This window comes from Homo sapiens, chromosome 18 (genome assembly GCF_000001405.40).
Source record: "Homo sapiens chromosome 18, GRCh38.p14 Primary Assembly".
In the NCBI taxonomy this organism is placed as follows: Eukaryota; Metazoa; Chordata; class Mammalia; order Primates; family Hominidae; genus Homo; species Homo sapiens.
In genome coordinates, this window is record NC_000018.10 from 2110323 (window position 1) to 2127716 (window position 17394).

The 17394-nt window shown below is 37.5% G+C and overlaps 1 long non-coding RNA gene across 1 annotated transcript in view; it reads right to left on the reverse strand.

Moving 5' to 3' along the window:
• Positions 1–16055, reverse strand: part of LOC105371956 (uncharacterized) — a 92178-nt gene extending 76123 nt beyond the window's left edge. The window contains exons 1-2 of the long non-coding RNA XR_935087.3: positions 15878–16055; positions 1322–1414 (exon numbers count right to left, since the gene is read on the reverse strand). This is a non-coding gene — a long non-coding RNA (uncharacterized LOC105371956). The remainder of the gene's footprint in view (positions 1–1321; positions 1415–15877) is intronic.
• Positions 16056–17394: the final 1339 nt, after the last annotated feature.

The following is a 17394-nucleotide window of genomic DNA, read 5'->3' on the forward strand; positions in this document are numbered from 1 at the left end:
TACTTGGGAGGCTGAGGTGGGAGGATCGCTTGAGCCCAGGAGGTGAAGGCTGTAGTGAGCTGTGATCACACCAGTCCACTCCAGCCTGGGCAAGAAGGGAGACCCTGTCTCAAAAAAAAAAAAAAAGCAAAAACCAACAAAAAACAAAGACACCACTCTGGTAGGGGATGTCAACAGTGGGGGGCTGTGCATGTCTGGGGAGGTTGTGTTTGTAGGTATATGTGCATCTTTGTGCCTTCTGCTCAGTTTTGCAGCAAACCTAAAACTTCTCTTTTAAAAAATCTATTTAAAATGGAAAAATGAGGCAAACAGGCCAAGAAAAGAAACGTTAAAAAAAAAAAATTAGTAAGACCACAGAGAAAGTGTGCTTTAAAGTATGCCACTGTATCAAAGAGTAGGCACACCAAGTCCAAATATAAACCCAGGAAGGAAATTATTTGAGTCAGGCATATGTGCAGGTAGCTGCTTATCTCTGAGTTTCTCCACCTTTGCACTGTTTCGCATTCGAGATTATTCTTTATATGAGGAAATTTTCCTGTGCCCCTTGAGTGACTTTCCTTCTGTTATCCACTGCCAATGATCAGAAAACCTCTGAGAAAACAGAGGTAGAAAACAACAGTAGAAAATGAAGAAAGCACAAGACTCCCTCATTTCATCACCTCCAGCAACTTCATAAGAAGTCCTGTAATTATAACATTGTAAGATTTGAGATGAAGCAGTCTAATCCCTTCTTTTTAAAATGAGACATTGAAGGCGAGAGATGCTAACCCCCAATTACCCCTCCAGAAACAGATCCCAATTCATGCCCAAGGAGTTCAGCTCAATATTCTCTCAAACAGGTCATATTGCAACATGAAGAAGAAAGAAAAAAGGAATTAATTTAATAGAAATGTGCTTATGGCTATTTATTAAAATGTCTATTAAGTATTGATAATCCTGGGTCTTGGCTCCAGCTCCCCATATGTCCGCCCCATTCGATCCTTAGCTGACCACACCCACCACCTGCCCAAATCCAAGACTCCAGGATGACAGCTCTCCAGAACAACAAACTTCTGTGCACAGTGAATATCTCCAGTACTACATGCTTGATATATTCAAAAATAACCTAATTGTCTTATCTGGACTCAAATCTATTCCTGATCCCCTTCCTGCAATGATGGCCCCACTAGCCACCCAGCCACCCAGCCAGAAGCCCTCCAGAGCTCTAGGCCCCTTTCGTCCCTCAGTCCCCTCCTTTACTTGCTTCTCCTGCCCTGTTCTTGCTCCACCTAAGCATCTGCCTCATCTAGTGCTTCCTTTCCGTCCCACACAACTGCCTTACCCCAGGCAGGCTCTCATCATTTCTCATTTGCAGGCTGTGGTAACTTTCCCATCATTTTTCTCTGATCTCCACATTCCTTTCAGATGATTCTTTCTGAAACACAAAGCAAATGTTGTCGCTTCCTTAAAACCCTTCCATGTCTCTCCATCACTTTCAAAACAAAGTCTCACACCCTTACTTCCCATGCAAGGTCCTGAATGTGTGAATCCTGCATTCTTCTTCAGCCTCGTTTTGCACTGCTTCTCCTCCCTCGCCTATGGGTGTCAATTCTCAGCTTCTTAAAATTTGTTGCAAGATACCCTAACATGACCCTGCTCCTTGGTGCTTACTGGAGTCCATCTACCCCTCCTGCCCTGCCCCAGATCAACCGAGCTGAGTCCTCCCCACTCTTCAAGGCTCAAGTCACAAGTTGTCTTTATTCTGTGGGACCCACATAGGAGTTAGTCAGAGTGATGGGATGGCCCCAGTATCAGGATCTTATAATCAGGGAGGGCTTCCTAATCTACATCTCCATGAAAGCTGTGGTGAAATGGGTGGGAAAAGCAGGGCCAAATCTCCCTCCCAGAGCCAATCACTAACCCGTGAGGTTTAGCTAATTTGCATGTAGCCTCCTTGGGGACGAGTGAATGACAAGCCCCCAGGAACCACTGCAGAAAGAACCTTCTACACTATAGCAGATTGGAGTCCTGAGATCCACAATGGTGGGCGTTGGTCTCACCACACCTGTGCAAGCTGTCTGTTCCCTCTTGAGCACTTGTGAAGGCTAGTGCATTGCAGAGGCTCTCTGGACCTGGCTCTGAGAGAAGGCTCATTCTAAATCCAATGGCCTGCACAGGCAGGCACAATAAATGTAAATAATCTGGAAAGGCTAAGCCGGTCGAAGCCAGCCAAGGGCATGCAGCTCTTACCCCACTAGCTTTGATATTTGGGGTTGCCCATCCCCTGCACCCTTCACCCTGAAGGAATTCACTGTTCTCCCCCACCTCCTAACACCTCCCAGCACTTCTAGGAGCTCCTTAGAACAGGAGTTGCTTTACTTAGTGCCTCATGAATAATAACACTTAATAAGTGTTGGCTGTGTGAATGAAAACATTATAAGAAGTGCCACTTCCAGATTCGGTGATTCCTCGCTGTTTTGAAACCAATAGCTAAATGTGTTTTCTTTTGTGCATAACGTTGAAACTGCTGTGACAAATACCAGCTAAGTTTGTTATATTTAATGCCTCCAGGTAATAATTTCCTCTCCTAATTTTTTTGTGCTTGTTCATCCTCTGAGTCATCGTTCCTCCCTCATTTCTTAAAAATGTCTTTCTGATTCTGCTTCTAAAGGTTGTTTAAAATCGAAAGGCCGATTTAATGAAATAACTTTATGTGAGACAAGGAGCTGTTTTGCTCATTTTTCAGGGGCTGGCACCACCACACAATACTCTCTTCAGACTTTCCATTTTCATTAAACAATTACATTTCAGTTGTTTGAGTCTCATCTAGTGTATGTGATCTTTTGCAAAATTTTAACAAATTCACCAAAATAATTGCAATTTCTTCCTCCTAATTGTAAGAGTTGAAACCTACAAGTTTACCAAAAGTGGTCTTCGAAAAATTATTAAGATTTTTCAGAATTTGCATTTTTCCCAAATACTCAGGTTTCTAAGGATTGAAAACAAGGAGATAGGAGAAAAGCATCATGCCATATTCATATATCACACATCCCCTTCTGCAATTTAGTTTCAAATCTACAAGAGAAATTATTGCAGTAGGTGGCATGAAGTTAATCTCTATTCATTCACATTTGCAAAAACACCACACATGATCAGACTGCTGAATGAACTTGCATTCACAAATTCAAACCAGGGATGATCCATCTTGAAGATGACATAGATACCAAAATCCAGGCAAGCAAAAGTAGAGAACAGCAAGGCATTGATCAAAGGAACCAGGTATTATGTTTTACTATATTTTAATTCAGTGACCACTAGGACTAGCGGTAGATGCTAAGCTACCTAGATAAATAGACAGGTAGGAAAATAGATGTTTTAAATAAAGGAACAAAAGGTTAAGTAAAACTGACAAGCATGGCAATAGAAAGTCATATTTATTCTGATTTTTAATTAAAACTATGACCAAAATAATAAATGTTCTCCTGTGAATTGGGGGGTCTAACATACATACAATTATAAATGAATATTAAAAGGCTTTGGGTTGGTATTTCCTAGTATCTTTCCTCTTACATCATGCTAGTCTAAAAAGTACTATAATAAACTTCACCAATTTAGTGAAAGTTCTCCCCCTTGTTCCTTTTTATAACTTTGCAGTGACTATAAATAAAGGTGAGGAACAAAATCATTATTTTTGAGTAAAATGCTAACCACATTAATTTGCAAGTCTGATTGGTATCTCTTTCAGAAAATCACAAGTAGTATAAATAGCATGCAATGTGAAATTGTCATAGTAAAAACTGCATACCCTTGCTTAATCTATATCTATCTCATTCAGAGATAAAGTTACTGTATTATGCTTTTACGATAATCACTAAAAATTATATTTTTGAATGGTTTTTGTGCAACAGACTTTCAAACCCCCTTATTTTCCCCAACATTATTACATTTGAATAAATAAATTAGGTATATAGGAAGGACTTTAAGGGAACCAAAATATAATCCAAATGTAGGCATGTACTGAGTTGATATAAACATTTATTTTCCCTAAGGTAAGAGGAAAAAGCATCTTCCAAACAAATGAAAGCAACTGTTACACTCAAAGTCTTTTATTATCTGGACCCAGCCTCCTCTACTCTGACAATACCCAAGGCTCCAGCTCCAGTGGATTGGTCAACAGGGGTCTGAAAACCCTGCAGAGGGAGGTCTCAGCTCTTCTGCTCAGATTACATTGCCTCTCTTCCTTCCCCACAGGTAGTTTCCCGTTCATCCTACATGGCAAAGCTCAGAAATTGCCCCTAGAAAGATTTCCCTACCACATCACTCCCCCTCATTTGAATCAACCAATTCATTCCTCCTTCGCCTTTGCTCCAACAGCATCTGTTCATATCACTTTCATAACAAGCCTCAAATTGTTTTAGGCTTGGCTGTGTGCTCCCACCTCCTCTGCTAAGCTGACAGCTTCAGAGACCCACCTACCCATCTCTTATTTGTTGAAACATAGTAGGCACTTACCGAATGTAAGTTGTGTTAAAGGAGAGTCTCATTCAGAGAGGGCTGTAATTTTGATCACTCTTTAATGCATTTTAGAAGATGCAAAACTTCACTCCTATTCAGTGTAAGCACATGCACAGCAGCAGCATGGCTTCCTTTTCTGTTAGAAACATGTCCTACCACGTGATCTTGGCACTTAGTCAACAATGGGACTGAGGACTTCCAGAAGTCAGCGCAGCAAATGCCCACTCTGTCAGGGCACCAGCCTCAGCCCTGTTCTTAGTACTCCATAACCAAAGAACAAACAGGTCAGATAGGCCCCCAGGGGCTCCCCGGAAGATGCTAGATACTTACTGCCTTTCTGGAGCAATCTATCACCGCTCCTTGCCTAGCTCCTCTGTATTTCTGAATTATTTTCTCCTTCTCCTCCCTCTCCAATTACATTAGTTTCCGTGGATCCAGTGCTAATATAGACTTCAAATTTACAGCGTCAGCAACACCACATAGAAATGCTGGCTAAAATGTAACCAAATAAGATTAATAGGTAAACTTGGAAAAAAGCAAAGGAAATCTACAGGTGCCAGAAATAGAAGAGGAACTCAAAAACAGAGCAATAAGCTTGTCTCCTGATACACAAGCAATAACCTGGTCCCCTGGAAATATTAGTCCTAAAATAAGTCCCTGACTCCTGGGAGGAAATACATGGATGCATGGCCACAGGGTCTCGAAAGGCAGGAAAGTGACACCAAGACTCACACATTTCGCCAGGACCCTATAATGGGTGACCTCTCCGGGAACAGGGGTCTAGAAACTCTCTTACCAATTTTTCTCCAGGGAAACATGAGAAATTACTTCTGTGAGGGCTTTGGGGAAAAGTAATTCCATTATCAGAAGCAAAACTCCAAATCTGCAATTTACGTGAGTGTTGGGGAACATTTAGCAATCTGGGTGGTATAAGATTCCCAAGTTGGGAGATTAAGGTAAATACTGCTATATGTTTAATGAGAACTCCCTAAAATTTTAGCAGAAGCAAAACCAAGAATACTTTGAAGAAGTTCCATAATCCAAGATGCACTAAACTCCCACACTTAAGCAAACAACACTCAAGAGGCATTTGCAATTTTTAAAAATAAATGAAACAGAAAAATGAGCAATCAAGAGTGTATCAACAGACAACAAAATAGAGAGAAGTAGCATTAGCATCCTCTGATACAACAGAGCAATCAGAAAGAATGTTTAACATGTTTAGAAAAGTAACAACACTATAAAAATTGATTAAACAATAACGTAAAACATAGATTGATACTAAAAGACAGAAAGTCTTTTAAAAATAAAAAAGCATACTTCGAAGTAATCTACAGATCAAAGAAAAAAAATCATAATGTAAACTGGAATATACTCAGAATTAAAAGAGAATAAAAACACTATCTTTTAAAGTTGTGAAGCACAGGCCAGGTGCGGTGGCTCGCGCCTGTAATCCCTGCACTTTGGGAGGCCAGGCGGGCGGATCACGAGGTCAGGAGATCGAGACCATCCTGGCTAACACAGTGAAATCCCGTCTCTACTAAAAATACAAAAAATTAGCCGAGCGTGGTTGCAGGCGCCTGTAGTCCCAGCTACTCGGGAGGCTGAGGCAGGAGAATGGCGTGAACCCGGGAGGCGGAGCTTGCAGTGAGCCCAGATCGCGCCACTGCACTCCAGCCTGGGCGACGGAGGGAGACTCCGTCTCAAAAAAAAAAAAACGTTGTGAAGCACAACCAAAACAGAATATAGAGAATGATGTATTGTGTAAATGTTTATATTAGAAAAAAGCTGAGTAAGCAGTTAATTCACAAAGACAGATAATAACCATAAAATAAGCCCTAGAAAGTTGGAAGAAAATTGGCAGAATTTAATGAAACAGAAAACAGAAAAAGACATAAAATTTTAAAGTGTTTTTTAAATAAAAGACTAAGAAAAATAGAAAAATCTCTGGATATCGCCTAATATAAAAGAAAAGAAGACATAAATAAATAATGTTAGCAAAAAAAATTGATACAGACAAAAATAGAAGGAAAATGTCATTAGACATTATAAGGAACACCTTTCTGTTAATAAATATGAAAAGTTAGAGATATAGAAAATTTTTCAAAAAATATAAAGGTAGCAAAATTATCTCATGAAAAAACAGAACATGAAACAACTTAAAATCAAATTTTTTCAAAAGAATTGAAAACTTTTCTATAATTTAAAAAGAATTTAAATTTTACCTGCAAGAAAATCACTGACCAAGGCAGTTTTACAGATGAGATAATATGAATAATCGAGGAAAAAAAATAACCCCACTGCTATACACAAACTGTTCTGGGAAATAGAAAGTGAAATGCGCTCACAAGTCATTTCATGAAATTGACTTCAACAAAAGAATCAGATGAGCCAATCATAAAAAGGAAAGTATAGGCCATTCCTCCCTTTTGAATATAAATACAAAAATTTTAAATACAATATTTGCAAATCAAACCAAGCAATATATTTTTAAAGTAATGTTATATTAAGAGACAGTTCATAGTAACCACTTAGAGTTTATCCCAGAAAAGAAAGGATAGATTAAAATTAGAAAAATTTATTAATATAATCATATTAGTAGATAAAATAATACAGAAAAAAATTTGATTCAGAAAAAGCATTTGATAAAATTCCACAAGCATTCCTGATAAAATTCAGATAACTAGGAAAAGAAAGAAAACATATGATGAAAAAAGATTTCTACAAAAAACTTACAGCAAACAGCAAACTTTATAGTGAAAACTGGAAGCATTTTCTCCCAAATTTGAGAAAAAGACCATACCCTCTATCACTTTTTTAATTAAAAATGCTACTGGAAACACAGCACTATGTACATTTATGATTAAATTTGGCTGTGTGTTACAGAAAACATTACCAATAGTGCCTTAAACAAGGTGGAAGTTAGTTTTCTTGCCTAAAAGAAATTCTGATGTCAGTGCTGACCTAAAATTTCAGCTCCATAAATATATCAGGGCCCAAGTTCTTCTTCCTTTCTGTTCCACCATTCTCAACATTTGCTTGCATTCTCAGGGGAATTTCATGATGCCAAAATGGGGGCTGGAGCTCCAAACATCACATCCATTGATCCAAGATTCAGAAAGGAAGACAGAAAAAAAGGCAAAAGGATGCACTTATCATTGGAGTTATCTTTCCCCTTAAAGAACTTTCTTGAAAGTCCAACCCACCTACTTCTATATACATCTCAGTTGTCATCCCTATATGAGAGGCTGCAAAATGTAGTTTTTTTAGCTGGGCACATCGTGTTTCTATTTTTAAGAAAGAAGAATGCATTGTGTAGATGCCAGTCTCTGTTAGCTCAATACACAAGAAAAAGAGAATCAAAATATAGTGGATAAAAAGAAATACATTTGTTATTGTAAAAGTCATGGTTTTCTACATAGGAAACTCAAAAGAATCTATAGATAAACTCATAACTAATAAAAGATGTCAACAAGGTTGATGAAAACAACATTAATACAGAAAAATCAACAGAGTTCCTATAGACCAGACACTTTAATTTAAGAAATGTAGTCGTGTAACAATATTATACACATACACACACATAATAATAGGGAAGAAATCTAATAAAAATATACAAAGAATTATAAAATGTTAAAGATACGCGAGACCTAAGTGATGAAATGAACTGTTCCTAGATAGAAAAACTCAATATAGTAACTATATCATCCTTCCCCAATTAATCTCTAAATATCACCAAAATCCAATCAAAATTCCAAAAGCATTGTTTAAATAACTTTACAAGATGATAATGAAATATATGTGGAAGAATAAACTGTCCAGCACAGGCAAGACAATTATTAAAAAGGAAAATAAGATAGACCGATCTGCTCTAGCAAATACCAGCATGTTGTAAGGCTGTAGTGATTGTGATAGTGTTGTAATAGAACAACAACAACCAAATAGACAAATTAAAGATAAGGGTTCAGAACCAAACCATCTCTCACATTTGAAAAGTTGTCATAAATTGAAGACAACATTACAAATCAGTGTGGTCACAATGGACTATTTAATAAGAAGTGGTGCCAGGATGATGGTTAGCTACACAGGAATAAATTAACTTAGCTTTCTACATCACACAGCATGCAAAAACAATTGTTTTAGAAGAAAGTAGTAAATGTATTTATGACCTCAGGTAAGCAAAATATATCTTCAATAAGAAACAAAAAAACCTTGTAAAGAAAATTTTAATAAATTTTGCTACATTAAAAGTTAAAACATCTATTCATTAAAGGAACTCTTAAAATACAGAGACAATCTACATACCAGAAGAAAATATTTGCCATGCATAAAACTGACAAAGAATTAGTATCTCAACTATATCATAAATGCTTAAAAAACCAGTAGGAAAAGGAAAAATGACCTAACAGAATAATAGGCAAAGAAACAGGCAATTCACATCAAAGTGGAGCCTAAAAGCTAATTAACAGGGAAAAGTACATAAAAACCCATACGAGATGTCCTTTCATATTTAGCCACTTAGCCAATATTTAAAAGTCTAATTTCAAGAGTTGACAAGAATGTAGGGAAATAGTAATTCATGTATTCTGCTATTGGGAGTATAAACTGGAAAATAATTTAGTAAAATCTAGTAGAGTTAAGATATGGATATTTTCAAACTAGTAATGCTACTTCTAGGTACATTTAGAGAAACTCAAATATGTGTAGAGAAGACTCATAAGAATATTAAATGCAACATTTTACAAGAGCAAAAAGTCTAAAATAACTTTGAAGTGTATCCTACTGGGAGAATGAATGGATAAATGGTTGTATTTTGATAAACGGATCAATGGGATTATATATGAGCATTTGAAAGTGAAGTAGCTCTACATACAGCATCATGAATAAATCTTAAAGGTAAAGGTTGACTAAACAAAGTAAATTGTAAAATGACATGTAGAACAACAATTGTTATGTATAAGCTTAAAATACACATAACAATATTATACAACACTTATGAAAGCTTACACATGTAACAAAAACATAAAACTCATAAACCTCAGAATAGTGATTACTTCCAGGAAGAAAGACAGAGAAATCAAACACTTTATCTCAAAAAAATAACTGAAAATATCTAAGCAAATGAGACAAAATCATGCAAGATCTCATATGAATACAAAGATATCTGTTATTTTATATCATTCTCTGTAGTTTTTGTATGTTTTATGTAATTATTTTAAAAGGAAAATTACTAAAAAGGAAAAACACTTGCTCATCGTAAAATTTCAAAGCATATGAAACAATGATTAAGAAGAAAATGATCAATCTTAATGTTTTATTATATTTCCTTACAATTTTTTTTTTTTTTTGAAACCTTGTTCTGTCATCCAGGTGGATTTCGGTGATGTGATCTTGGCTCACTGCAACGTCCACCGCCCAGGTTCAAGTGCTTCTCCTGCCTCAGCCTCCGGAGTAGCTAGGACTACATCACACCCGGCCCATTTTTTCATTTTTAGTAGAGATGGGGTTTCACCATGTTGCCCAGCTGATCTCAAACTCCTGATCTCAAGTGATCCACCCTCCCTAGCCTCCCAAGGTCCTTGGGATTACAGGCGTGAGCCACCGTGCCCTTACAGGCAGCTTCTATGCATATTTTATATTGTTAAGAATATACTTTATTATCACTTTTCTATTGTCTTTTGTTTACTTTACATCATAGCATAAGCATAAGCATTCCTCATGTTGTCCTAATGATGGCATGATAGCCCATTAAGTGGTCGCACCATCATTTATTCAGCCAGTCTATTTTGGGGCATTCAGCTTTTTCTAACTTTTCTTGATTGTGAAAATTGATGTAAGGAATGTCTTTGAACTGAGCTTTTCTGTATCTTTAATGATGCTTCTGAAACTCATTCTAAGTAGTCCAGCAATTACCAGCTGATGAAAAATAAATAGCTGGAAAATCTTTGGTCTCCATGGGAGAATCCAGGCAGTGGTGTGGTCCCTTTGGACACCACGTTCCTCTACAGAACTGACTGTACAAACCCCGGGAGGGAGTCCCCAAGGGGCTGTATCCCAGACCAGTGACCAGGGATGTGACTGTGCAATGCTAATGTAGAGATGCAGGAAATGCAAAAAAAATAAGATGTTAGCAAAAGCAGCATGTAGGCCAACAAAGACACCGGTAGTATTATTTAATATTATTTAAAAACCAAAAAATCCCAGCATGGGAATCATGTAATGCATGAAAATTCTAAATATCATTTCTATACAGTGACAAAAAAAATCAGTAGCTTTATCTAAATGATAATACATTACTTTTTTTAAAAAAAAATTATTTTCCCTTCTAATATATGTTTGTTGTATAAATGGGTGAAAATTTTATTGGTTTGCAATTACAGTTTTCTTAGTCAACCTCTTTTAACAAAAGTATGTCCTACCTTTCAAAACACAAAAATAAATAAATAAAAACATAGCTCCCTTTAACCTGATTCGACAGAAAAAAAAGATAAAATAATAAAACATATGTCTCTAATAAGAAGAGCAACATCTTTTGGACTTGTTTATGTGTTTCTATTACTATTAGTTCTTTTGTAATAGCAAAGAGATGCTGTCCTACTGCGTTAGAGCAAACTCTAGTGGTAAGTGGGTAAAAAAAGTCTTAGAGCTTTGCAGGAATGATGATTTTTACTTCCTCCAAGGAGTGACTTTGTAAAAGCCAGGAGAACCAAATGGAAAAGACTTCGAGAACCAGGGACATTGAAGTCTTAAGGGATTCCTCATTATCCCTGAGCCCACAAGCAAGCCTTGGCAGTCAAAGCCCCAAGAGACACCCTTAGGGAGCTGTTGGGAAGCCACCCACACCCTCCTCCCTACAGAGATCATTAGCTTTTCATCTCAAAGGCACTTTACAAACATTAGCCAATTAACAGAAGCAAGCAGTCATAAATACCAGTAAGCAAGCAGAGCAAGAGTACGATTATATAAAAGCCCTAGCTGAGATGTGTTTACACATTTGGAAGTAAAAATTTAATTTCAGCAAATGCAGTAGTCTCAAACAAAATTTACAGGTCATAGCTGTTAATGACATTAAGTTCCTCTATTATTAAAAAGAAAGTGCATGATAAATCCTGGATGGAACTTTTGGGAAATTCATTCTCTCCTCCCTCCAAAAAAAGAAAAAGAAAAAGAAAAAAGCATCGTTTACATGAGCCCCTGCTTTTTTAGCCAATAACCTGTGGAAATCCTTCTTTAAAGAGTATTCTTCTCAAGAACTCAGTCCCCCCAACTAAGATCCATGGAATCAAAGTGGTAGGAAATGAACAAACAGTTCATTTGGGTCCTATTATATATGATGCTGATTGCTATTGAGTTCATTCATTTTTGTGTTGTGATTTATTTCTGGCAACATAATTTACACTTCTTGGCACCGTGAGTAAAGACAATACAACCTATCTTGGTTTTTATGGGCAAAATCAGTTAATTTTTATGGGCAAAGTTAGTTAATCAGCTTGAGTAGAAAACAGACTTTGAAGGAAAAAATATGCATATTAAAATAAGTAATTCCTTTGCATCTATTTACCTAGATGAAATTTTGATATGTTCTGTTGCCACAGTAACCAGATATTCTGAGAGATACATCAGGTAAAGAACAAATACATGAGGCAAAAATTGGTGAGATACCTTACCTAGCTTGTTCCTTCTACATAATAAAGCTAAGCACTGGCCTAATAGGGTAAGTCCCTAGAATGGAACTTTAATTGATTATAGAGTAAGCATATTATCATTAAAATTATTTTAATATGCTAATTATGTTGTATATGGAAAAACAGGCATGGCTTCTCCGGTCTTCTCTGCACTGCTTTTCTCAAAACTCCCACAGAATAAGACAAATGGCATTTGATTACACAGTTCATCTAAAACAAAAGCAAAATTTATCTTTAGCATCCCCTTCAAGTTTTACACCTTTATTTGCCTACACAGAATAGATTTTCTTTTTAATGTATTACATTTCACACAACCAGTATTGAGAAAGACAGAGGTTAATTTGCAAATGTTCTATTGAGATCATTACAGAGATGATCTGGAAAAATCTTAAAACAGCAATAATCTGGTCTAACAAGTAGACATCTGGCCAAAAACTAAAAGACCCAGCCTAAGAGCTGTGTGGTAAAGGGAAAGACTACATACTTTGGAGTCAGACTAATTTGACTACAAACTCTGACTTCAGGTCTGAAAAAGATGTACTATTTCTTAGGCTCAATTTCTTCATCTGTAAAATAGGGGTATTACATACAGTCTTTAAGAATGAAATGATCTAATTCCGTGAAAGGGTCAAGTAAAGAACATGATACATAGAAGCCAGGAACTATAGATAGAGATACATAGTTAGAAGACAGATGGATGGATAGATGGTAGATTAGATGATAGGTAGGTAGACAAATAGATGATAGATAGATAGGTAGATAGATAGATAGATAGATAGATAGATAGATAGATAGATAGATGGATGGATAGACAGACAGACAGACAGATAGACAGACAGATAGATAGATGTGATATGATAGTCTCACTCCCCCATCCCCTTATCACCATCCCTTTCTTGTGACAACTTTAGACTATTGGATCTATCCATTGCTTTATCATCATCAACAATGTTGGGGAACGTATCTGAAATGGGTACCACAAATGGCAACCTTAGAGGATTTGAGGCATGGGAACACGGATAACAAAGGCAACCACAAGACCTACTACTTCACAGCACAACAGTGTGACTGCAGTCAATAAGAACTTAATTGTGCATTTTGAAGTAACTAAAAAAGTATAAATGGATTGTTTGTAACACAAAGGATAAATGCTTGAGGGGATGGATGCCCCGTTCTCCATGATGTGACTATTATGCATTGCATGCCTGTATCAAAACATTTCATGTACCCCATAAATATATACACCTACTATGTACGTACAGAAATTAAAAATTTTAAATTAAAAATAAAAAACAAAGCTAATCCTAGAAAACAGCACTTCCCTCGCACCAACCCTAAACTTTTCTCTCCCCTGTGATGACAAGAAGAACACTATCAATCTGCAGAAGCCCTGACGTAGAAATACTGCCCTCATCTCTGACTAGTAGATGAACATCAAGGGAATTTCTGTGGCACAAGAAATTCAACCTCCCTGGCTACTCTAGTAGGCCCCAAGTGCTGAGAAGTGGCAGAGAGTAGCAGTAGCAGTTAACAGCCTACAGCCACACAGCCTGGGTTCAAATCCTGACTCTGCCACCTATGAGCTTGCCTTAGACAAGTTGCCACTTACTCCCTGGTGATCTTATAGTTACATAACCTCTCTGTGCCTCAATAGCCTCACTTGTACAACGCGGTTTGTCATAGTAGTTATTTCATAGGACTGTTGTGACAACTCAAGACCAAGTGAGAAAATATATTGCAATAGTAAAGGTGCTTGGTATCATTATCCTTTCCTTCACACTCTGGAGCTCAAAAGTATAGATTAAGCCCTTATAGGCTTTCCCAGGGATGTTACATAAAATTTCATCAAAGTCAGAAACATCTCACCCCAACTTCAAGCAAGGACGGAACTCTAGGCCTCACAAATCCTGCCCAGTGTCGTACTCTTTTAAATCAATGGGAATAGCCATGGTGTTCAAAGGTGTACAGGAGAAGCAAAGGAACACATTGCTAGAAAAATACAAAAACCATCAGGATATTATATTCAGGCTTCGGTCAAAAAAAGAGGGGAGTCCTAGAAAGATAAAAGATGAAAAGATAAAAGATAAAAAGAAGGCAGAAAGACTCAATGATAAACTTCGGCATTTGACTTGAGTCCCTGGTTTCTGGACAAGTGGTGGGACCATCCTGTCTCACTCGCTCTGGCTACCTAATCTCTCTCAAGTTTCCGTCGGTCCCCCACCACCCTTGATTTGTTTAAGCCATCATCATTTATCCCTTCAATTACTACATCTTACTTGATCTTCTCCCATATCTGTTTCATCCAATCTACCTTCCACACAGCTACTAAACATCTTTTAAAGATATATTTCTGGTCGTGCTCCTCCTCTGTCTAGTAGCTATCAGTTGTACCTCATTAACCTCATAATAAGTCTAAACTTCTCAGCAAGAAATATCTTATTGCCTTCATCATTTACACTCTCCTAATTATCCAGCCTAATCTCTTACCCACCTTTGTCTTTTAATTGGAACTTTCATTGTCATTCTACCAAATGACATCTAGTCCATTGAATATACCATGCACTCTCTCACCTCTGTCCCATTATGCTAAAGTATTTGGAATTCTCTTCCTCCTGCAAGGTGGTATGGTGATGGATAAGGTAAATTTTATTTTGCCTTGAACATTGCATTTCCTTTTTTCCATGTAACTTCTTTATGTTATACAATGAAAGAACAGCTCATGAGAAAATGTTCACAACAGCAAAATGTTCATTGAATTACTCTGAAGTTTATTTAGACATGTTCTTATGTATCCTTGGGACTGTTTTCTAATCATCCCTGAAAATTATTTCCTAAAGGATGACACTCCTTTTGAATTAAATGAAGTATGTATATATAGCAGCTTATGGAATCTACTTTTTATGCTGTTGGGATGACAGTAATAGCTGTCTCCCACGCTGAAACAAAATGTTCTACAATTACAATACAGAAGAACTAGTAGAATAAACTTGAGAACTGAAACTGAGGACTCGCCATGTCTCTATGTGTTCAGTTATCTAGTGCTTTATCTTACCATTTAAAAAGTTGTTTTGTTTTGTTTTATTTTGTTTTGTTACTATAAGCACTCTGAAAAGAATAGTGTTAGTTGTGCGTTGATCTGTTTCCCTTATGATGAAAATTTAATAGAATGCAGTCTCTTTACTTGGTCCAAGGGGAGGGATTTAAGTTATTTTTCAAAACATAGAGGACTACCCAAAGCAGCCCTCACTGACTTCTCAAGCTCCCAAACAAATGGCAGGCCTACTGGAGGCAACTGGGGATATGACTAGAGCCAAGAGGCGTACTAACTCAAACTTTGGCAACCCAGCGCAGAGCATTGAACAATTATTCACGCACTCACTCACCAAGGGACCCTTCATTCTTAGCTCTTACCACCACTCAATTCTACACCCACTGTAATTCTGTGCATCCTCTCTATTCCTCCATCCAAGATGCTCTCCCCTTCTGATATTCAATTTAAAGTGTAATCAAAAATCTCCTCTACATCTTTGACTTCTTCTTCTTCACTATCTTGCCTTAATCAATACTTGGTTTAATCAAGTCTTAGCTGTCCCCTGAGTACCCTGCTTCCCCTAGACCCTCTGAAATGAAGGCTATCTTCTCTTCTATATCCCAACATATTCATGACCAAGAGAAGATTCGGTGTCTCCTTTACTCACCATTGCTTGTTCAAGACCATGACATACTCTCTCTGTTGCAAAATCCCTGTTCTTTTGAGCCAACCATTTGGTAATATCATTTCTTCTTTGTCTTCAAAGAAGTATTTTGAGCTCCTGGTCCTGCTCCTTCATTCACTGAAGACTTTAGCTCCTTCCATCATCCCAGACAACGTAGTGCCTACACAGATGACATTGTATGAAAAGCCCTTACCTCAATTCTTTGACCTTTTTATTTCCAATTATATTTTCTTTGTGTTTTTTAACTTTTATTTTAGTTTTGGGGGTACATGGGCAAGTTTGTTATAAAGATAAATTGCATGTCACAGGGTTTGGTTTACAGATAATTTCATCACTCTAGTAATAAGCACAGTATCTGATAGGTATTTTTTCTGATCCTCTCCCTCCTCCCACCTTCTACTCTCAGGTAGGCATCAGTGTCTGTTGCTGCTCTCCTAATATTCATGTGTTCTCACTGTTTAGCTCCCACTCTTAAGTAGGAATACACAGTATTTGGTTTTATGCTCCTGTGTTAGTTTGCTTAGGATAATGGCCTCCAGCTCCATCCATGTTGCTGTGAAGGAATGATCTAATTCTTTTTTAAGGCTGCATAGTATTCTGGGGTGTATACGTACCACATTTTCATTATCCAGTCTACTGTTGATGGGAATTCAGGTTGATTCCATGTCTTTGCTATTGTGAATAGTGAATACTGCTGCAATGAACATACACATGCATGTGTCTTTATGGTAAAATGATTTATATTCATTTCAGTATATAACTAGTAATAGGATCGCTGGATTGCATGGTAATCTTGCTTTAAGTTCTTTGAGGAATCACCACCCTGCTTTTCACAATGGTTGAACTAATTTACACTCCCACCAACATTCAATTATATTTTCTATAGCTCCACCTCCTACTTTCTTTAGCTTCTCCTCAGCAACCCACTGCTAAAATCACAACATGAAGACAGCACAACCAAACCCTTCAGAAATTTAAAATCTGACCCTAACCCCCTTTTTCCTGCCTCTTTTGCCCGAGTGCCTCTACTTCAGCAGCCTCAGCCACACGGAATCTTCACTGTCTCTCCCCAGGCCCTCCAGTCTTCATGTCTCTCTGCCCAGTTCAGATGGCCTGGAGCATTTCAGACTCTTTCACCTTCCTGTCCTTCCTCCTTCCTTTTAGCAGAGTATTCCCGCTTTTTTCAGGAGTCAACTTCTATAGCTTGTGTTATCTTCTTCCCTTTCTGGTCCCCCTTCTCAGTCTTCCTTTCCAATTTCTCTTCTCTTACTTGTCACCCAGTTGTTCTCCTGCCCTCTTCAATTTATTTTCCATATAAAATACAAAGTGATCATAGCTTACAGCTACCTCTTTCAAGGTCTTCCATTTCATTTAAAAAGAAATATGAAATCCTTAACATGGGCTTCTATAGCCCCAAATAACATGGCTCCTGCCTCCATCTAGACCCTCATCTTTCCTCCGTGCTCTCTAAACTCCAGCCACACTGACCTGCATGCTGG